The following is a 23783-nucleotide window of genomic DNA, read 5'->3' as shown; positions in this document are numbered from 1 at the left end:
TGCACTCCAGCCTGGGTGACAGAGCAAGACTCCGTCTCAAACAAACAAACAAACAAACAAAAAACATGTATTTCATTATAAATTGCTCGCCTTTTCTTTTTTTCTATTATAGTCAGGGCATTAATTGATTTTTTCCTCCTAAAATTCTGTGAGGATAGGTTTAATAATCTACAATTTTCAAGTCATAGGAAAGCAATATAACACAGTGTTTAGGAGTACCGACTACATATATACCTTTTGACCCATATATCCCGTTTCTAAAAATCTATCCAAAGGATATACTCACAAAAATACAAAAAGATATATGCACTAGGCTGTCACTGTAGCATTATCAGTAACAGCAAAAGACTGGAAGTAACTCAAACAGCCATAAATAGGGGAATGGCTCAACTAACTACAGAACATTCTACACTAAATAATTTTGAAGCTATAAAAACAAATGAGAAAATAGCTCCATATACTGCCATGGAGTAATCTCCATAATATATGAAGTGAAAACCAGTTGGAAGAAAAAAATATATATGGGATGCTATCATTTACCAAAAGAGATGGGGGGAAGGTGTATCAATACACACACACACACACACACACACACACACACACACACACACACGGGGTGTACTTGTTTCTATTTTTTTTTTAAATGGAAGAACCATAATTTTTTCCCAGCTTTACTGAGGTATAATTGACAAAATTGCATATATTCAACATGATGATCTGATATACATATATCCTGTGCAATAATTATCACAATCAAATTAAGACATCCATCACCATCCATAGTTACCGCATGGGTCGGGGGTGGGGTTGGCGGAGGAACCAAAATTTTAAAAAATAGTTACTTTGGGAGAGATGGGACCAAGTTAAAACCTAGATTTCTCTGAATATATATTTTTGGTATATTCGCTTTTGGAACTCCGTAAATTATATAAAATCACCAGCTTATGAAGAATGAACAATACTGCTTGTAGTAAGATAGCCATCCACTGATCACTTAAGAAAATCCTTGTACTTTTTTGCTTTGTAGACGACATATGCACCTTATTTGCATTTACAATTAAATGAAGACCAAAATACGGAACAGAATTGAATGTAAATTGGCACTGGTTCTGTTCTTACATCTTTAGAGATTATGGTATCTATAATGGTAACTTTTTGTATTATATGTATTACACAGTTAGCAAACACTCATTAACCAGATTATGACCGGGTTATTAGCTCTATTATTTATAGGTTATGCCTCTATTGTCAGCTACCATGATGTATCATATTTCCTCTACTGAACTCTACTCTTTGTGAGAAGGTACTAAGTTTTGAGAAGAAAATATAAAAATAAAAATTTAAAAAAGAGGCCAGGCATGGTGGCTCATGTCTGTAATCCCAGCACTTTGGGAGGTCGAGGCGGGCGGATCATGAGATCAGGAGTTCGAGACCAACCTGGCCAGCATGGTGAAACCTCATCTCTACTAAAAGTACAAAAACTAGGTGGGCATGGTGGTGCTCACTTGTAATCCCAGCTACTCAGGAGACTGAGGTAGAATCGCTTGACCCCGGGAGGTGGAGCTTGCAGTGAGCCGAGATCATGCCACTGCACTCCAGCCTGGGCAACAGAGCAAGACTCCGTCTAAAAAAAAAAAAAAAGAAGATACTAATTTTATAGCTCTTTTTATTCTCAAGGAGCACCTAGCAAAGTGTTATATACATCACAGAAACTCAAAATGTGTTTTTCAAATAAACAATGTTAGCCAGTCTAGGCAAATAAACTACTGCCACTTATCAAGTTGCATACTGAAAGCCAAATCACTCTTCCTTTTAGTCCCTTTATTTAACCACCAATATAATGGAGTAATACCTGTATTATCTATTCTCACAAGTGATGACAAATAATGAACACATACATAAGAATATGTCCAACCTCAGACATTAATGAAATGTAAATTAAGGCCTCTAGCAGATACCATTTTACACCTTCTACATTGGCAAAAAACAAGAAGGCTGATTCAAATCAAGTGTTATCAGGAATATGGCACAAAGAGAATTCTTATATACAGCTGGCAGGAGTATAAACTGGCAAAACTACTTTAGAAAATTTGGCAGGCTGGATGCGGTGGCTCGCACCTGTAATCCCAGTTACTCAGGAGGCGGAGGTGGGGGATTGCTTGAGGCCAGGAGTTCGAGCCCAGCCTGGCCAACATGGCAAAACCCCGTCTCTACTAAAAATGCAAAAAAATTAGATGAGCATGGTGGTGTGTGCCTGTAATCCCAGCTACTCAGGAGGCTGAGGCAAGAGAATCGCTTGAACTCGGGAGGCAAAGGTTGCAGTGAGCTGAGATCACGCCACTGCACTCCAGTCTGGGTGACAGAGCGAGACCCTGTCTCAAAAAAAAAAAAAAAAAAAAAAGGCCGGGCACGGTGGCTCATGCCTGTAATCCCAGCACTTTGGGAGGCCGAGGCAGGTGGATCACGAGGTCAGAAGATCGAGACCATCCTGGCTAACACGGTGAAACCTCGTCTCTACTAAAAATACAAAAAATTAGCTGGGCGTGGTGGCGGGTGCCTGTAGTGTCCCAGCTACTCAGGAGGCTGAGGCAGGAGAATGGCGTGAACCCGGGAGGCGGAATTTGCAGTGAGCCGAGATCGCACCACTGCACTCCAGCCTGGGCAATAGAGCAAGACTCCGTCTCAAAAAAAAAAAAAAAAAAAGAAAGAAAAGAAAAGAAAATTTGGGGTCGGTGCAGTGACTCACAGCTGTAATCCCAACATTTTGGGAGGGTGAGGCGGGAGGACTGCCTGAGCCCACTAGTTAGAGACCAGCCTGGGCAACGTGGCAAGACGCTATTTTAAAAAATTAAATTAAATTAAATTAGAAATTGGGTATTAGCTTTAAAGTTGACTTCTATCTGTATTTATTTATTTATTTTTTTTTGAGACAGAGTCTCGCTCTGTCACCCAGGCTGGAGTGCAGTGGCACAATCTCGGCTCACTGCAACCTCCGCCTCCCAGGTTCAAGTGATTCTCCTGCCTCAGCCTCCCGAGTAGCTGGGATTACAGACACCCGCCACCATGCCTGGCTAATTTTTTGTATTTTTAGTAGAGATGCGGCTTCACACCATGTTGGCCAGGCTGGTCTTGAACTCCTGACCTCAAGTGATCTGCCCGTCTTGGTCTCCCAAAGTGCTGGGATTATAGGTGTGAGCCACTGCGCCTGGCAAGAAAAAATGGACTTCTAAGATACGATGTTCCATCAGAAAATCTCTTCCTAAAGGTCACTTGAAGAGCGCTAAAATGTTTATTTGACAAACTTATCATAAAGAAGTTATGCAAATAAACTTCACAGTTGAAATACCAAAAGTAGGAAGTTTTTCCCAGTGTCTGTTTATAAAGTTTAGCATTATTACACCTAAAAGCCAATTGTTTTCTGCAAAGATACAAAAGCAGCAGCAGGCCGGGCGCGGTGGCTCACGCCTGTAATCCCAGCACTTTCGGAGGCAGGTGGATCACCTGAGGTCAGGAGATCAAGACCATCCTGGCTAACACGGTGAAACCCCATCTCTACTAAAAATACAAAAAAAAAAAAAAATAGCCGGGCGTGGTGGTGGGCGCCTGTGGTCCCAGCTACTCTGGAGGCTGAGGCAGGAGAATGGCATGAACCCAGGAGGCAGAGCTTGCAGTGAGCCGTGATCGTGCCACACCACTGCACTCCAGCCTGGGTGACAGAGCCTGGCCAGACACCTTTTATCAAGCAATTAACACTGGATCTCTTTGTAGACAGTGATCTGAGTGCCTTTCCTTTCTTTCTATAGAAAATAGACAATAATACTTGTCTATATTCTATTTTTTCTAAAATGCAGATACTATTTTGCCATGAAAACGTAAGCAATCTTCAATTTAAAAATCTACTCATCTTCTAAGCTCTTTCTCAAATACTTCTTTTACTGTCATGTGACCTCTGCTCCGTCTCTGAGCTCCCGCAGCAGTTAATACCATTCTCCTGCCAGTTACTGATCTAGTGCCTCTCCATTCCAAATTCATCATTTCTGTCCATTCCGAAAACGGATCTGAGGCCTTCAAGCATTTTTCCTTTGCCGGGACACGATGCTAAGCTTTGTCGATATAGGGCGCTGGAGAGACATCACAGAAGAAAAGGAGTTTTGCTTCCTGGTTCCAGTTGTCACAAGACTCCTGATGGGCAGGCAGCTCCTCCAGCATCAGACTCCAATAGGGGAAGGTGGCCAGCAGCACTGAGTCTACTGCAACAGGGAGCCACCCCACATACTCTTTTTGAGCAGTTTTGTATCAGAGTTAATAATTCTCCTTGGCACCCTAAAGGGCAGATGTCCAACAACTATGGCCAACAAAGAACCATTAAATGGCAGAAACATCTCTGCCATTCAGTGATTTACAACCACGCTCTCTCCAATAAGGTCTGGATCTCAGCTCTGGGAAAAGGAATAGCTCTTTCCCAGGCAGGGGGTGGGGGGTCTATCTCAGCCCTAGGGGAAGTAGCTGCTTCTTACTTTTGCTATTCCAATGTTCTTTAGAGCTCTATTTTTTTACTGGCTAATCCCTCATTACTCAATTACCCTGTTATAGTCAGTCAATTATGTTTTTTCATGTTCAAATTACTGTATGGCTTCTCTCTCCTGATTGGACCCAGAATGATACAGTCCCATCCATCCATATGGTACTTGCACACTTCCTTGAAATTCAGTCACCTGGCTTCTAACTTTTCTTCTTTTTTTTTTTTTTGAGACGGAGTTTCACTCTCGTTGCCCAGGCTGGAGTGCAATGGCACGATCTCGGCTCACTGCAACCTCCGCCTCCCCGGTTAAAGCGGTTCTCCTCTCTCCCTCTCCCTCTCCCTCTCCCCACGGTCTCCCTCTCATGCGGAGCCGAAGCTGGACTGTACTGCTGCCATCTCAGCTCACTGCAACCTCCCTGTCTGATTCTCCTGCCTCAGCCTGCCGAGTGCCTGCGATTGCAGGCATGCGCCGCCACGCCTGACTGGTTTTGGTGGAGACGAGGTTTCGCTGTGTTGGCCGGGCCGGTCTCCAGCCCCTAACCGCGAGTGATCCGCCAGCCTCGGCCTCCCGAGGTGCCGGGATTGCAGACGGAGTCTCGTTCACTCAGTGCTCAATGGTGCCCAGGCTGGAGTGCAGTGGCGTGATCTCGGCTCACTACAACCTCCACCTCCCAGCCGCCTGCCTTGGCCTCCCAAAGTGCCGAGATTGCAGCCTCTGCCCGGCCGCCACCCCGTCTGGGAAGTGAGGAGTGTCTCTGCCTGGCCGCCCATCGTCTGGGATGTGAGGAGCCCCTCTGCCTGGCTGCCCAGTCTGGAAAGTGAGGAGCGTCTGCGCCCGGCCACCATCCCATCTAGGAAGTGAGGAGCGTCTCTGCCCGGGCGCCCATCGTCTGAGATGTGGGGGACGCCTCTGCCCCGCCGCCCCATCTGGGATGTGAGGAGCGCCTCTGCCCGGCCAAGACCCCGTCTGGGAGGTGAGGAGCGTCTCTGCCCGGCCGCCCCGTCTGAGAAGTGAGGAGACCCTCTGCCTGGCAACCACCCCGTCTGAGAAGTGAGGAGCCCCTCCGCCCGGCAGCTGCCCCGTCTGAGAAGTGAGGAGCCTCTCCGCCCGGCAGCCACCCCATCTGGGAAGTGAGGAGCGTCTCCGTCCGGCAGCCACCCCGTCCGGGAGGGAGGTGGGGGGGGGTCAGCCCCCCGCCCGGCCAGCCGCCCCATCCGGGAGGGAGGTGGGGGTCAGCCCCCCGCCCGGCCAGCCGCCCCGTCCGGGAGGTGAGGGGCGCCTCTGCCCGGCCGCCCCTACTGGGAAGTGAGGAGCCCCTCTGCCCGGCCACCACCCCGTCTGGGAGGTGTGCCCAACAGCTCATTGAGAACGGGCCAGGATGACAATGGCGGCTTTGTGGAATAGAAAGGCGGGAAAGGTGGGGAAAAGATTGAGAAATCGGATGGTTGCCGTGTCTGTGTAGAAAGAAGTAGACATGGGAGACTTTTCATTTTGTTCTGCACTAAGAAAAATTCTTCTGCCTTGGGATCCTGTTGATCTGTGACCTTACCCCCAACCCTGTGCTCTCTGAAACATGTGCTGTGTCCACTCAGGGTTAAATGGATTAAGGGCGGTGCAAGATGTGCTTTGTTAAACAGATGCTTGAAGGCAGCATGCTCGTTAAGAGTCATCACCAATCCCTAATCTCAAGTAATCAGGGACACAAACACTGCGGAAGGCCGCAGGGTCCTCTGCCTAGGAAAACCAGAGACCTTTGTTCACTTGTTTATCTGCTGACCTTCCCTCCACTATTGTCCCATGACCCTGCCAAATCCCCCTCTGTGAGAAACACCCAAGAATTATCAATAAAAAAATAAATTAAAAAAAAAAAAAAAAAGCGGTTCTCCTGCCTCAGCCTTACCGAGTAGCCGGGATTACAGGTATGCACAACCACACCCGGCTAATTTTGTATTTTTAGTAGAGACAGGGTTTCTCCATGTTGGTCAGGCTGGTCTTGAACTCCTGATCTCCATCCGCCTCAGCCTCCCAAAGTGCTGGGATTACAGGCTTGAGCCACTGTGCTCAGCCCTAACTTTTCTTTTTTCTACAAGATTATAAACTGGCTGGCAGGTAACACTTTCCATACATCTCTGTACCTATCTGACACTATCTAACATAATGCTTTTAACACGGAGGCACCAACAAACGTTTAAACTCACACTTTGAATCACGACTCATAAATATCCTATACACCTTCAGTAGTTTAAGGCCGTTATAAACAAGTAAACACTTTCTAATGACACACCTTGTTTCAGAATCTTCACCAGCAAAGCACAAATAATTTGGATAGCATAAGAATGCATCCTTATGCATTCAAACTGCTCAAACTCACAGACCGGTCATGGTTACAGGCCCATAATGCGGCTGCACATGGATGATGCCTACTTATCACTGTAGAAATATGAACAATGAGGTAAGAAATCATACTCAGAGTCCAGGCTTGGTGGCTCACACCTGTAATCCCAGCACTTTGGGAGGCTGAGGCCGGCGGTTCACCTGAGCTCAGGAGTTCGAGACCAGCCTGGCCAACATGGAGAAATACTGTCTCTACTAAAAATACAGAAATTAGCTGGGTGTGGTGGTGGGCACCTACAATCCCAGCTACTCAGGAGGCTGAGGCAGGAGAATTGCTTGAACCCGGGAGACGGAGGTTGTAGTGAGCTGAGATCGCGCCAGTGTGCTCCAGCCTGGGCGACAGTGCAAGACGCTGTCTCAAAACAAACAAACAAACAAAAAACTGAAAATAACCCAGGTGTGCACCATCCCAGCTACTTAAGAGGCTGAGGCAGGAGGATCACTTGAGCCCAGGAGTTCAAGACTAGCCTGGACAATATAGAAGACCCTGTCTCTTTCACCCATACAATGGAATACCATTTGACTGTAAAAGGAATGAAGTGCTGAGAGATGCCACAGCATGGATGGACCTTGAAAACACTGTGTTAAATGAAAGAAACCAGTCACAAAAGACCACATATTGTATCATTCCATTCATGAGACAAAAAATAGATTAGTGGTATTTGGGGCCGGCGGGGAGATGAAATAAGGAGTCACTGCTATTCAGTGCAGTATTTCTCTCTGAGGTGGTGCAAATATTCTGTAATTAGATAGTGGGGACGGCTGTATAACTTTGTGAGCACACTTAAAAAACCCACTTAACTGGCTGGGCACAGTGACTCACGCCTGTAATCCCGGCACTTTGGGAGGCTGAGGCGGGCAGATCACGAGCTCAGGAGTTCAAGACCAGCCTGGCCAGTATGGTGAAACCCCATCTCTACTAAAAATACAAAAATTAGCTGGGCGTGGTGGTGCGTGCCTGTAGTCCCAACTACTCTGGAGGCTGAGGCAGAAGAATTGCTTGAACCTGGGAGGCAGAGGTTGCAGTGGGCCGAGATCACGCCACTGTACTCCAGCCTCCAGCCTGGGTGACAGAGCAAGACTCTATCTCAAAAAAAAAAAAAAAAAAAAAAAAAAAAAAAAAAAAAAACAAAAAAAACCACTTAACTGTATACCTTAAAGGGTGAATTTTACTGTATATGAATATCTGTTTTTTTAAAATTTAAGGAATTTTTAAGGAAAAGAAAGAAACCAATTGGGCCAAACATAGATGCAGAGAGCAAGAGAAACTGACCTGAAACAGAGGCACAGGCAAGGATGAAAAGTTTGCCTCTGGTGAAGAAGAAACTCTGAAGAATATGCCAGAGGCTCCCAGGGCAATGCAAAAAGAAGAGTTCTAGAAATAATCTGAAGAGTGGAAGCATCACTGGGATAATCAGGCAGTCTCTCAATGGGACTACTTCAATGGTGACAAAAACCATTTATAGTATTTGCTGTGTTCAGGAAAAGATCACTTCAACGACCTCACAGCCATGCCTCCTACCTTCTATGCTTACTCTTCATGTCTGACAAAAAGGCTGAAGACAGGCATCTGGATTATTTACTCTGCTAGTAATGTTTCTATCCAGTGACAGAAAAATACGAGAATAAAAATGTGTAAGTTTTTCCCTTTTTAAGAAATTAACATCCTTGGACGGGTGTGGTGGCTCATGCCTGTAATGCCAGCACTTTGGCACACTGAGGTGGGCAGATCACTTGAGGTCAGGAGTTCAAGACCAGCCTGGGCAACATGGTGAAACTGTGTCTCTACTAAAAAAATATAAAATTTAGCCAGGCGTGATCATGAGTGCCTGCTGTCCCAGCTACTCAGGAGGCTGAGGCATGAGAATCGCCCGAACCAGGAAGTGGAGGCTGCTGTGAGCTGAGATCATGCCAGGGTACACTCCACCCTGGGCAGTAGAGCGAGACACTTTCTCAAAATAAAATAAACTAAAATAAAATAAAATAAAAATACTATCACTTCATCCTCCCACTTAAAACCTTCTCATGGTTCTTAGGTAAAGCCCAACAGTGCGTGCATCATCAGGCTCCTGTCTAACTTTCTAGACTCATCTCACTTTAGTCTTTCCCTCTTCAGGCTTTAAGTTTTTTCTATTCTTACTGTTTCTTTAATTGCCATCTGAAGCTTTCGCACATGACCTCCCCGGACACGGGACGTGTCGTGCTAAAACCAGGAAAGCCGTGGACAAACCAGAATGAACTGATGACTCTACTTTCTGCCCACCACCTCCACCTGGCAAACACCTACTTCAAGTACTAGCTTAAATGTCATTCTCTCAGGAAACCTCTGATACCTCTTCACTGCCACAAGTATTGGTTTATTTCCTTTTATCTCAACATTCATCACACTGGATTTCTTCTTTTAATGTCTGTCTTCTCTAACTACGTATAAACTCCACAGGCAAGGACCCAGTGAGTATCTATCTTGTTGACCATTACATCACCATCACACTGGACACTGTGTTTAGCCCAGAGTAGGTGATGAGTCATTATTTCTTGAATGAATAAATCAGTGAATGAAAGGATTTCATCTGTGACAGCATCAGAATTAAAGGGTTTTTTCTTCTTTAGGCTAGTGGAGACCCAGGCAAGTTTGAAGATACATTCACTGTTCTATCTCTTTTAAGGTCACTATTCTAGAAGCTAAGACAAATGCTCCATTTATCTTGTTCATCACAACCAATAAAACTGACCCAGAAACCTCATCCCTTAAGCACCGTATGTTCAAGATGACACCCCAGGTCGTGAGTCTAAACTCTCACTATTCAGTATCTAACGCGAGTATTCTCGGTATTTATCGCAGATCATCTTCCTGACCAGAAGACGGGATTCCAGGCAACAGGAACATAAGTACCACGTAGCTCATGAGACAGCAAGGAGATCACAGGGCACAGCTGGCAAGCAGTGGGAAATAAAACTAGGCTGAGTGGGGCCAGAATGGTGCAGGGTCTGGGCAACAGGAAGCGCCTGGAAATTTGAGGGGTTTGGGGTTAATTTTTTTTTATTCTTATATAATAAAAGTAGTACATGATGATCACAAAAACCTCAAACCAGAATAAGGTCTAAAAGAAAAGAAGAATAAGCCTAAGTCCACTTCTCAGAGATACCTGCTTTTGATATTTTCACACTAGAAGTTACTAAGCAGGGAAATGACGTGGATGGAAAAAATAACAGAAACTCTTTGTAAATCTCTCCTGTTGGATACAGTGAGTTCTAGATTTCTCTTCAAAGAACCAGTATTGCCCTCCATTTTAAAGTTTAACTTCAGCGTAGTTTCACTAAACAACCTTTTCCACCAGTTTTCATCAGTAGTTCACATCTGTTCCCCCAGTCACCTGCTCTGTCCTGACTCATCCCAGTCACCTGCTTTGACCTGAGTCACCCCTGGTCACCTGCTCTGACCTAAGTCACCTTGAGTTACCTGTTCCTAACCGTCCTTCCCACTAAACTACTCAGCCTGCCACTCTGGCTCATACCCCCTGGTCTCTTTAAAATAGCCAATCGGAATTAGCTTAGACAGTGCAGTCCAACCCTAGCCAACAGGGGAATGACACAACAATAGGGGCTACCTGTGTCAGGAATAAGAACCCCTTCCCCTCCCTTGTTCAGGTGTGCTCTCACCATTGTTCCATCTGCGAGGAGCACCCTTTATGCAGCAAGTAAAACTGCCTTGCTGAGAAAGTTAAATTTATGCTGAGTGCTATTTCATTGCAGCACCAAGGAATAAGCATTTTGTTTCTTTCTTTCTTTTTTGAGATGGAATCTTGCTCTGTCACCCAGGCTAGAGTGCAGTGGCACAATCTCAGCTCACTACAATCTCCTCCTCCCGGGTTCAAGCGATTCTTCTGCCTCAGCCTCCCGAGTAGCTGGGACTACAGGCGCGTGCCATCACGCCCAGCTAATTTTTGTATTTTTAGTACGGACAAGGTTTCACCATATTGGGCAGGCTGGTCTTGAACTCCTGACCTTGTGATCCTCCCAGCTCGGCCTCCCAAAGTGCTGGGATTACAGGCATGAGCCACCACGCCCAGCCCAAGCATTTTGTTACTAATACTCCTAATTTATTCATTCATTCAAATATTTATTAAGTGCCTAAAAGAGTTAAGTCTCAGTTTGGAGCTCACAAATAACAACTACTCTGAAATGAGTTAAGCTGCTGACAGGGCCCAGTGGAACGCACTGGAAAGGGGGACCCGGAGCTCCTGTTTAGATGAGAGTAATTAGGCAAAAAAAACCCAGAATTGCTTTTTGAAGGATGAAAAGGAATTTGTCAGGCAAAGAAAGAGAGGAAGGTATCTATATACAGAGGACACAGGGAGTGTAAAGGCATTTTGTAATTCAAATGTGACCCTTTTTTCTCTTTTTCTTCTTCCCCTTGGCTTTCACTCAATCACCACATTAAAAAACTGAAACAATGACAAAGCGTAAAGGAAGTCAAGTGGCGAGGCTCAGAAAATGCTTCAAAACTGCCTGACGGTAGGGAACAGGGAGACAACAAGTCAGCAACAAGAAAGATTACTTAAAAAGTTGGAAGGGGCCGGGTGCGGTGGCTCACACCTGTAATCCCTGCACTTTGGGAGGCCAAGGCAGACGGATCATGAGGTCAAGAGTTCAACACCAGCCAGACCAACACAGTGAAACCCCGTCTCTATTGAAAATACAAAGATTAGCCAGGCATGGTGGTGCTCGCCTGTAACCCCAGCTACTAAGGAGGCTGAGGCAGCAGAATCGCCTGAACCCAGGAGGCGGAGGTTGCAGTGAGCCAAGATCATGCCGCTGTACTCCAGGCTGGCAACAAAGCGAGACTCCGTCTCAAAAAAAAAAAGAAGAAGTCTGGGTGCAGTGGCTCACGCCTGTAATCCCAACACTTTGGGAGGCTGAGGCAGGCGGATCACCTGAGGTCAGGAATTCGAGACCAGCCTGACCAACGTGGAGAAACCCCATCTCTACTAAAAATACAAAATTAGCCAGGCGTGGTGGCACATACCTATAATCCCAGCTACTCAGGAGGCTAAGGCAGGAGAGTCACTTGAACCCGGGAAGTAGAGGTTACAGAGGGCCGAGATTGTGCCACTGCACTCCAGCCTGGGCAGCAAGAGCCAAACTCCATCTCAAAAAAAAAAAAAAAAAAGTCGGAAGAAGAAATGCGTAAACACTCTGAAGTCTAGTTTTTCCTAATTTTGGCCATGAACCCCAAATAGCAATTCAAAATGGAAAAATGGGGAGGGAGGGTCCATAGACATAGGAAAAATTTTCAGCCTCACTAGATTTATCAAACAGATGCAAAATGGAACAAGATACCATTCTCCTACTACCAAAGTGAAAATCTATCAATCTGAGGTAAAATCTTTTATTAAAAGATGAAGGTCAAGACTGATGTTACTACTTAAGTGATTACCTAAGTTTCAAAAAATTGGAACAGGTTTACTCTAGTAAATAATGCTATCAAATCAGAAATCTCCAACGTAGTCTGTCCCAAATCTCCACCAATACAATTTATATGAGATCTTTGAAGGATTTCAATTAGCTTTAAGGTCAACTGTACTGCAAAAAGACTCGTGACCCAGCCATGCTCTGCCTCATAAAACAAAGTTCAATCATCTGCCTAAAAGAACTATGAAGATATCTTGTCTCTCCCTACTAGCCATCGCTTTATTTGGAGACTCAGAGTCGGCTTTGAAGAATCAAAGCAGAATCAAGAATTGGTCAGCCACTCCTTGCTACACAGAGGCAGTTTTTGTGGCAGCCACAGTTCCTTATCTTCTGTGATCTCTCAACATACATTCAGGGAGATTACCAGGCGCAAATTCCAGAAAGCAAACCAGGAAGTGTGTGTCTGCGCCCGTGTGCAGGTAAGGTTCCAGCGGGGCTGTGTAAGGGCAGGAAAACCCGAATGGACACACTGCTTCCTGGGAGGTTTAGTGAAGTAACAAGGAGAGTGTTATGTTGTGGGTGTAAGATCAGAATCAGAAAACCTGTAACAGCAGCACATGCTAGAAATGAGGGCCACTCTCATACATCATCAGTTCAGACTCACAAAGACAGAAACAGGGTAGGGTAAGATCCTACTACCCTAGCCCAGAATACCATATGAAGAGGAATGTCTGTTCATCACTGGAAATCAGGCCGGGAGCTGTGTATTTATCCCTCAGAAATACATCTGAGAAGCGGTTTCATCAGAACTCCAGTCCCCTGGAGAGGCAAGGAAAACACACACACATCTCTGACAAATGCACATGAGACAGGACATAACAGTTACTGTTCAATGGTAAGTAGGCAGTAAGAAATCCAGCACTGATCCTAATAGCAAAAGAAAACCACAAGGAAGATTACCCTTCACACAAAAGCAGAACCTAACTTACAAGGTAAATTACTTCAGGAACTTCCAGTCACAATTTAGCAAATGACACAAAACAGGAGTATATGGAGAGAAGAAACCAGGATGAGATAAGATAATTTAAGAAAAGTGAGATAAATTTTAAAAGGATACTAAGAAATTAAGATTGCAATAGCAGAAATAAAGCCAACATTAGAAGTGAAAAAGAAAAATCAAACGAGTGGTAAAAAAGGGCAAACTTTTGAGCAGTTCACATAGGGGACAGAAATGGTGAGCCAACCTAATAATTACATGTGTTTTCAAGGAAGGAAACAGAACAATTGAAACAAAAGTAATCACCAAAAGTATTATTGGAAATTTTTTAAAAAGCACCAAGTACAAAGATCATAAGGAACTAATGTTTCAGGCAACATTAGTGAACATGTACAAGACAGAATCTGTCAAAATATTTTTAAAAAAAGAAAAAGGAAAATTCCTACCACCATCCAGGCACAGGAAAAAAACAAAATGATTAATGCAAGGCGATAGAACAACATCAACAGAATTTCTGAGGGAAGTTAGCAATCTAAATCATTAAATGTGGCTTCCAGGTACTCCTAGTGAAAATACTAGCTGAAAATGTACACTAGATGGTATACATGACTAATGAATTTAAATGTAAAACAGAAAGCTGGCAATGAGCAATGAATTCACATAAACAAGGTTTCAATAACTTGTGTTAATACTAAATGTAATTAGCGAGATAAAAGAAATAATTAGGCCAGGTGTGGTGGCTCTCACCTGCAATCCCAGCACTTAGGGAGGCTGGGGCAGGAAGATAGGATCACGTGAGCCCAGAAATTAGGCGGGTGTGGTGGCATGTGCCTGTAGTCCCAGCTACTCAGGCGGCTGAGATGGGAGGACTGCCTGAAAGACTGCAGCAAGCTGAGGTTGCACCACTGCACTCCAAACTGGGCAACCTTCTTATATCTGAAGATTATAAGATTTTTTTCTCAGGCCCGGCGCGGTGGCTCACACCTGCAATCCCAGCACTTTGGGAGGCTGAGGCGGGCGGATCACGAGGTCAGGAGATCGAGACCATCCTGGCCCACATGATGAAACCTCGTCTCTACTAAAAATACAAAAATTAGCCAGGCGTGGTGGTGGGTGCCTGTAATCCCAGCTATTCAGGCCTGAACTCGGGAGGCGGAAGTTGCAGTGAGCCATCGGCACCACTGCACTCCAGCCTGGGTGACACAGGGAGACTCCGTCTCAAAAAAAAAAAAAATTTTTTTTTCTCTTAACCCATTCTCACGTTACCCTCTTTTCACCTCCATGGTGAGCTTGGGACAAGAGCGAGACCTTGTCTCAAAAATAAATAGGCCAGACGTGGTGGCTCATGCTTTTACTACCAGCCCTTTGGGAGGCCAAGGCAGACGGATCACTTGAGGCCAGGAGTTTGAGACCAACACGACAAAACCCTGTCTCTACTAAAAATATAAAAATTAGCCAGGCGTGGTGGTACACGCCTGTAATCCCAGCTATTCGGGAGGCTGAGGTCAGGAAAATTGCTTGAACCAGGGAAGAGGTGCTTGCAGTGAGCTGAGATTGCGCCATTGCACTCCAGCCTGGGCAACAGAGTGAAACTCTGTCTCAAACAAACAAACAAACAAACAAATAAATAAAACAAAATTACCAAAAGAAGATGGAATTAGAAACATGAAATATACAAAAAATACATTAACAATATTCTGTGTCCCAAGCTCACCACGGAGGTGAAAGGAGGATAAAGTGAGAAAGGGTTAAGAGAAAAAAATCTTATAATCTTCAGATATAGGAAGAGTCAAAACAATTTTCTTTTTCAGGCTTACAGATCAGAAAATTTTTTTTCAATTTAGATTTAGACTTGAATTCACTTAAGCTAATATACTTTAAAAACAGGATGTATACATTCCAAATATCTGAGATAAAAGCAAACCAAATACAATTTACAAAGCAAAAAAAGAAAACATTGATAGGTGAACAGATAAACAAAAGTGGTATAATACATAGAATGGAGTATTACTCACCCTTAAAAAGGAATTAAGTACTACAGGTTGAGTATCCCTTATCCAAAATGCAAAATGCTTGGGGCTAGAACTGTCTCAGAGTTCTAATACTGGAATATTTGCATACACATAATGAGATATGTTGGGGATGAGACCCAAATCTAAATATGAAATTCACTTGTGGCTGGGTGTGGTGGCTCACACCTGTAATCCCAGCACTTTGGGAGGCCGAGGCAGGCAGAACACCTGAGGTCAAGAGTTCAAGACCAGCCTGGCCAACATGGTGAAATCCTATCTCTACTCAAAATACAAAAATTAGCTGAGAGTGGTGGCATGCGCCTGTAATCCCAGCTACTCAGGAGACTGAGGCAGGAGAATCACTTGAACCTGGGAGGAGGAGGTTGCAGTGAGCTGAGACTGCGCCATTGTACTCCAACCTGGGCAACAAGAGTGAAACGGTCTCAAAAAAAAAAAAAAAAAAAAGAAATTCATTTGTGTTTCATAAATGCCTTTTATATATAGCCTGAATTATATATATATATATATATATGTATATAAATAAATTTGTGTGTTTTTTGGGGGGACAGTCTTGCTCTGTCACCCAGGCTGGACTGCAGTGGTGTGATCTGGGCTCACTGCAACCTCCGCCCTCTGGGCTCAAGAGATTCTCATGCCTCAGCCTCCCGAGTAGCTGGGATTACAGGTGCGTGCCACCACGCTGGCTAATTTTTCTATTTTTAGTAGAGACGGGGTTTTAGCATGTTGGCCAGGCTGGTCTTGAATTCCTGGCCTCAAGCAATCTACCCACCTTGCCCTCCCAAAGTGCTAGGATTACAGGAGTGAGCCACTATGCTTGGCCAATATTTTAAATAATTTTGTGCACGAAACATGGTTTGCATTAAGTACTTACATATGGAATTTTCCACTTGTGATGTCATGTCAGCACTCAGAAAGTGCTGGAATTTGGAGCATTTCGGATTTTGGATTTTCAGATTAGCGATGCTCAACCTATACTATATGCTACAAAATGGATAAACCCTGAAAATACTGCGCTACATGAAATAATGAGCGAGACACAAAAGGACAAACATTGCACGATTCCAGTTATAAGAAATATCCAGAAGAGGCAAGTTCATTGAGACAGAAAACAGATTAGAGATAGGCTACTGGGGGCTGGAGGTAGGGAATGAGGAGTTAATGTTTAATGAGTACCGAGTTTCAGTTGGGGAAGATGAAAAAAATTCTGAAGACAGATGGTAGGGAAAGTTGTACCACAACGTGAGTACTTAATGCCAAAGAACTGTACACTTAAGAACGTTTAAGATGGTAATTTTATGTTACATGTATTTTACAACAATTAAAAAAAGCAACAATTAATCATTAAAAAACAGAAAGCATTAAATAAAATAACAGAAACATACCAGAAAGCATTTATTATAATAAACATGTTTTGGTTTTTTTTTTTTTTAAACTTTATTTTAGGTTTTAAGCATTCATTTTTAATGCTTTAAGCATTAATATGTTTTAAGCATTCACTTTGGAATAAAGCAAAAATAAACTACACGCAATTTTAAAAAGACACAACAAAAAACAGCAAGGAAAGATAATGTTGAATAATTTATTGAACAAAAAACAAAGTACAACAGGAATTTAAGACAAGCAAAATATAAGATGCAAAAATGTTAAATCATGATCGTACAGGACAATCATTTTCATGGATGAGGTACAATTCATAATGAAGATCTTGAGCAGTGTAGAATTTACACACGTACCAAATAATACTGAATCAAAACATGACAGAAATCATCAGAGTTGGGAGAATGAGAACTTAAACCACAGACTTAGAAAAAAAATATCTGCAAAAGAAGTATCTACCAGCCTGCGCAACAGAGTGAACCGTCTCTACAAAAAGATTTTAAAAATTAGCCAGGTATAGGCCAGGCACGGTGGCTCACGCCTGTAATCCCAGCACTTTGGGAGGCAGAGGTGGATGGATCACCTGAGCTCAGGAGTTCGAGACCAACCTGGCCAATATGGTGAAATCCCATCTCTACAAAAAAAATACAAAAAATTAGCCAGGCGTGGTGGCAGGCGCCTATAATCCCAGCTATTTGGGAGGCTAAGGCATGAGAATTACTTGAACCCAGGAGGCGGAGGTTGCAGTGAGCCCAGATCATGCCATTGCACCACAGCCTGGGCGACAAGAGCGAAACTCTGTTTCAAAAAAAAAAAAAAGAAATAGCCAGGTAAGGTAGCGTATCTGTAGTCCTGGCTACTCTGGAGGCTGAGGTGAGAAGATCGCTTCAGCCTAGGAGCTCGAGGCTGCAGTGAGTTCTCATCGTGCCACTACATTCCAGCCCAGGCAACAGAGCAAGACTCTATCTCAAAAAAAAAACAGAAAACAATGAAACACTACTACCTATTGGAATGGGTAAAATCCAAAACAATGATAACATGACATGCTGGAAAAGATGTGAAGCAACAGGAACCCCCACATCCATTGCTGGTGGGAATGCAAAATGGTACAGCCACTTTGGAAGAAAGTTGAACAGTTTCTTACAAAATGAAATACATTCTTACCATACACTCCAGCCATCATGCTCCTTGGTATTCACCCAAATCAGCTGAAAACTTATGTCCACCCGAAAACCTACACATGAGCACTTGAATAGACATTTTTTCAAAGAAGATATACAAATGGTCAATAAGTACATGAAAAAATGCTCAACATCACTAACTGCTAGAGAAATGCAAATCAAAACTAACATGATACCACCTAATACCCATTAGGATGGCTACTATTAAAAACAACAACGGTTGTGTTAAAAAGGATGTAGAGAAACTGAACTGCTGTGCGCTGCTGGTGGAAACGTGAAGTGATACAGGCGCTGTGGAAAGCAATACGGTAGTTCCTCAAAAAATGAAACACAGAATTATCATATGACCCAGCAATTCCATTCTGGGTATGTACCCGAAATAACTGAAAACAAGGTCTCAAAGAGGTATTTGTACACCCATGTTCGTAGTAGCATTAATCTCAGTACCTAAATTACGGAAGCAATCCAAGTGTCTACTGATGAATAAATGGACAAGCAGAATAAGGTAAATACACACATGGGAATACTATTCACCCAAAAAAAAAAGAAAAGAACTTCTGACATGCTACAACACAGATGAAGCTTGAGGATAAGTGAAATAAGTCACAAAAACACAAAATATGATTCCACTTACATAAGGTACATAAGAGTAGCCAAAATCATGCAGACAGAAAGGAGAATGAGGAGTTATGGTTCAATGGGTATAGAATTTCAGTTTTGCAGGATGGAAAGTTTCGGAGATGGATGGTGGTGATAATTGCACACTATAAATGTATTTAGTACCACTGAACTGTATACTTCAAAATGGTTAAGATGGTAAGTTCTGTTACATGTATTTTACACCACAATAAAAAACTCCACACATCAATGTTTACAGCAGCTTTATTCATAATCACCAAACCTGGTCCTTCAATAGGTGAATGTACATCCAGACAATGGAATATTATTCAGTGCTAAAATGAAATGAGCTATCAAGCCATGAAAAGACACGGAAGAACCTCAGATGCATACTGCTAAGTGAAAGAAGCCAAGTTGAAAAGGCTACACGCTATATAATTCCAACTACGGGACATTCTGGAAAAGGCATTGCGATGGAGGTAGTAAAAGGATCAGCGGTTGCCAGGGGTTGCAGTAAAAGTGGGAGGAACAGGTGGAGCAGAGAGTTTTAAGGTGCGGAAACCAGTCGGTATGATACTGGTGGAGACATGTTGTTATACATTTGTCAAAACCCACTGAATGTACAATACCATACGAGCAAACCCTAACGTAAACTGTGGGCTTTGGGCAGTGATGATGTGTGAATGCTGGTTCACTGACTGTGCCAAATATACCACAGTGATGCAGGATGTTGATGAGCAGGAGGCTTGGAGAAGAGGGGCATGAGGAGCATGGGGTATATGGGAACTCTGTACCTTAGGCTCAGTTTTGCTGTGAACCTAAAATGCTGCAAAGTCTATTAATTAAAATGAATAAAAATTTCTAAAAATCATTAGAAATAAGAGAGTGACACTCAACCAACACATACTTATTTCATACCTATTTGTTCAAAGCTCTGTAAAACAGAATAGTATATTAAAGAAAACCAAATAAATGAAAAAGAAACTTCAGATGGAAGTGCTATAAAGGAAAATAAACACACTGAAGGGCAGGAAGTTAGATGCGGAGTGGGGGTAGGCAGAGGTGATCATGAAAGATCTCTTTCAAATATGGCCTCAGTGACATTCAGGCAGAAGAAATAAAAATCTAAAGGTCCCAACGTGAGAACAAGCTTCTCAGAAACAATGCTACCTCTTTGTCTTTGGCAGATTAGGAAGATTTTTACATTAATAAGAATTATTAATAACGACTATAGTTCTTACTAGGACTAATAAAGACTAAGTCCTATATTTAGTAAGAACTATTTATAAAAACTGGTAATTCATACAAATAATCTTAGTCATTAAATTTAATCAATAGGTTATGTATAAAACTCTGTATATTACCAACAGAAAATGTTCTAAGTTTTCATAGAACATTTTCCAAAATGGATTATGTTTTAAGTCACAAGAAACACTCAATAAGTTTAAAAGATATTTTAAAAGATTATAGAAGCTGACAACAATGAAAGAAAATATGAGTGAATAGAATTATCCTAAATACCTCCTGAGTCAAAGAGGAAATCAAAACTAGAACCACCAGCTATTTGGAAAATACTGAGCAGAAGAACATTGTCCATGTAAATTAGAATGTGCAGCCAACGCTGCATTCAAAAGCAAATTAAGAACATTAAAGGTTTTTATTATTAAAAGACATTAAAATGAACTAGCTTTGCACAGTGGCGGTATCGTAGCCAATGAGGTCTATCCGAGGAGCGATTACCGCTCATCGAAAACACATTAAAGGAACTAAGAATTCATTAAGAATTAATAACATTAACATTAACTTAATGTTAACATTGTTAACAACAAAAAAAAAAAGCAGGAGAGCAAAATAAAGAGAAAAGTAGAAATCAGGCATTCAGAAAACAAACAAAAAAAAACCAATACAATAAGTAAATCTCAAAGCTGGTTAGTAAAAAAAACCACTAAGTAGACAAACATTTGGCAAATTCAGAAAAATAGTGAAATCACTAATAAAAAAAAGGAAATGAATACCACAGATCTTAATGACAAAAGATTATACACACCTATATAGTAACAGATTTGAAAATCTAAAAGAAATGATCTAGGAAATACGAATTATCAAAAGTGACTCATGAATAAGGATTCCTGAATAGGTTATAGAAGTTAACTACAGAAGTTATCATAAAGGCCTATCCTTTTTTTTTTTTTTTTTAATGAGACAGAGTTTCACTTTTGTTGCCCAGGCTGGAGTGCAATGGCACGATCTCGGCTCACTGCAACCTCCGCCTCCCGGGTTCAAGCGATTCTCCTGCCTCAGCCTCCCGAGTAGCTGGGACTACAGGCACCTGCCACCACACCTGGCTAATTTTCTATTTTTAGTAGACACAGGTTTCTCCATGTTGGTCAGGCTGGTCTCAAACTCCAAACCTCAGCTGATCCACCTGCCTCGGCCTCCCAAAGTGCTGGGATAACAGGCATGAGCCACTGTGCCCGGCCTATTCTTATTAATCTAAATTTATATGAGATTCTCCTCTAACCTTTCAATAAATTCCGTACGCAGGACTAATATGAGTGGGATTTTGGTTATTCACGATATATACCTTGTGATACCTTTGATTAATAGCAAATTTACTATTACATATCCTCAGCAATAGTTAAAAGAAGAAAACCATATCATCATCTAAATGTTACAATAGCATCTCATAAAATTCAGAAGCCATTCCTATTTTTTGTAAAGCAGAAACAGAATAAAATAATAATCTTTCTCTAAATCCAACAGCTGCCATCATCCCTAACTGTAAAAATATTAATACCAGAGTCATTTCAAGACAACGACACGTCTCTTGTTTAACCAAGTCTTGGAACTTCAGGCCAATGTAATAAAGACCTAAAACAGGGTTAAGGGCTGGGCACGGTGGCTCATGCCTGTCCAACACTTTGGGAGGCTGAGGCAGGCGGATCACGAGGTCAGGAGATCGAGACCATCCTGGCTAATACGGTGAAACCCCGTCTTTAAAAAAGAAAGAAAAAGAAAAAAAAAAAAGGTTAAATATTGTAACCATAGAAAAGTGACTGAAGTTACTATTATTCTCAGATAAAACAATGAACCTGGAAAACAAAATAAAGACGTTTACTGAAGTCCAGTAAGATAATAAAAATACCAATGAACAGAAAAATCTAGTTACTACTTCTTCTTTTTTTTTTTTTACTTAGAGATGGAGTCTCGTTCTGTTGCCCAGGCTGGAGTGCAGTGGCTTGATCTCAGGTCATTGCAACCTCCGCCTCCCGGGCTCAGACAATTCTCCTGCCTCAGCCTCCGGAGTAGCTGGAACTACAGGTGTGCACCACCACACCCAGCTAATTTTTTGTGTTTTCAGTAGACACAAGGTTTCACCACGTTGGTTAGGCTGTTTCCAACTGCTGACATCAGGTGATCCACCCACCTAGGCCTCCCAAAGTGCTGGGATTACAGGCGTAAGCCACTGCACCCGGCCAAATATTTTTATACCTGTATTTTATTTCTGTAGCAAAACTATTTTAAAACTCTTTTATCCCCACCAGGCATGAAAAAATTCCAGAAAGATTAAGATTGAAACACAATGGGCTGGGCACGGTGGCTCACGCCTGTAATCCCAACACTTCGGGAAGCCAAGGCAGGCAGATCACCTGAGGTCAGGAGTTTGAGACCAGCCTGGCCAACATAGCAAAACCCCGTCTCTACAAAAAAAAAAAAAAAAAAAAAATCAGTTGGGTGCGATGGTATGGTGCCTGTAATCCCAGCTACTCGGGAGGCTGAGGCAGGGGAATCACTTGAACCCGGGAGGCGGAAGTTGCAGTGAGCTGAGATCCAACACTGCACTCCAGCCTGAGTGACAGAGTGAGACTCTGTCACAAAAAAAAAAAAAAGATTGAAACACAATAATTATTAAAAGTACCAGAAGAAAACACATAAGAATGTTTTTTGTAAAGGTGGAATGAGGAAGATCTTAAACAGAAGGCAATAGATTAATATCTATTACATGTGAAGAGCTTCTACAACTCAATAAGGAAATATACATTACAAGTCTTTTTGGAATGCAATTCAAAAAAAAAAGAAAAAAGAAATTTAAATGCACACTTACAAGTCGTTTTAATGGAAATACTTATCTACATATGCATGTGCACAAAGACATACGTATAAGTTCATTAAGGCTCTAGTTTTAGTTGCTCAAAGTTAGAAATAACATAAATGATCACAAATAATTAAAGTACTACCATACAGCATAATATCTAATGACTTAAAAAGTAGAGGTGCCACTATATGTCATGATATGGAAAACAATACTTAATGATCAGATTTTTTATTTTAAAATCAACATAAAAAGTATCCGACACACAAAAGGTACTACTTATTTCTAACTCAGTAAGTAAAACTATTAACAGCGGGTAGGTACTTCTAAGGAATGGGACTAAAAAGAGAAAGTAATTTTCACTTTTTAAGAATTTTATAAGACAGGGTCTTGCTCTGTCACCCAGGCTGGAATGCAATGGTGCAATCATAGCTCACTATACCTCCAACTCTTGAGCTCAGGTGATCCTCCTGCCTCAGTCTCCCAAAGAATTTTCACTCTTTAAATATTTAATTGACTTGTTTGAACCTTTTATAATAAATATGTACTGCTTTTAGAATTTAAATTTAAAATAAGGAACAAAACCACTGTTCCAGTTTGTTACAATGGTTCTGCCAGCTGAGACTAAGGTAATTTTGTCTTAAAAGTTTTTACCACTTTCCAAATTTCTTATTTAATATTTTTTTCTACTTTTATTTTTGTCTGATTTAAGAGATGGGGTCCCCCTGTATTGTCCTGGCTGACCTCAAATTCCTGGACTCAAAGGATCCTCAGCCTCCCAAGTAGCTAGGACTACAGGCACCACCAGCCACTGCCCACTTTTCAACTTTTATACAGGAAATATGCATATTTTTAAATCTGAGAAATTTGTGTTCAAAAACCCTATGTTTTATTTCAGTGGTGAAACTATTACATATTTTTTCTCCTGAAAAATTACATTTTATTCATCCAAAAGTAATTTTTATTTTTAGTTACGGTCTCAGAAACTTCGTTCTTTTAGAAGGCAGTTTTTTGTTTGTTTGTTTGTTTGTTTTTGAGACGGAGTCTCACTCTGTCACCCAGGCTGAAGTGCAGTGGCGCAATCTCAGCTCACTGCAGCCTCTGCCTCCTGGGTTCAAGCAGTTCTCCTGCCTCAGCCTCCTGAGTAGCTGGGAT

At 42.3% G+C, this 23783-nt stretch overlaps 1 protein-coding gene and 1 pseudogene across 3 annotated transcripts in view, besides 1 other annotated feature; one reads left to right on the top strand and one right to left on the bottom strand.

Moving 5' to 3' along the window:
* PAK2 (p21 (RAC1) activated kinase 2) overlaps positions 1-23783 on the bottom strand; it is a 92791-nt gene that overhangs the window by 65103 nt on the left and 3905 nt on the right. Inside the window, exon 1 of one of the 3 annotated variants that reach the window (XM_011512870.3) lies at positions 1506-1621. The exons of 1 other annotated variant lie outside the window; for it this stretch is intronic. The gene's annotated coding sequence lies outside the window, so the exon portion shown is untranslated. Of the gene's footprint in view, positions 1-1437; positions 1622-23783 lie in introns of those variants that run through there. One more of the 3 variants, XM_047448218.1, reaches the window with a different exon arrangement.
* RNU4-89P (RNA, U4 small nuclear 89, pseudogene) lies at positions 20221-20353 on the top strand (annotated as a pseudogene).
* Positions 21716-22215: an enhancer, noted in NCBI's record as "H3K27ac hESC enhancer chr3:196472201-196472700 (GRCh37/hg19 assembly coordinates)". NCBI's record gives its function as "activates a minimal SCP1, AML or CMV promoter by ChIP-STARR-seq in naive H9 embryonic stem cells {active_cell/tissue: H9 hESC(naive)}" and the evidence as "EXISTENCE:reporter gene assay evidence [ECO:0000049][PMID:30033119]".

This window comes from Homo sapiens, chromosome 3, assembly GCF_000001405.40.
Source record: "Homo sapiens chromosome 3, GRCh38.p14 Primary Assembly".
In the NCBI taxonomy this organism is placed as follows: domain Eukaryota; kingdom Metazoa; phylum Chordata; class Mammalia; order Primates; family Hominidae; genus Homo; species Homo sapiens.
This window is presented reverse-complemented; position numbering and strand designations above follow the sequence as displayed.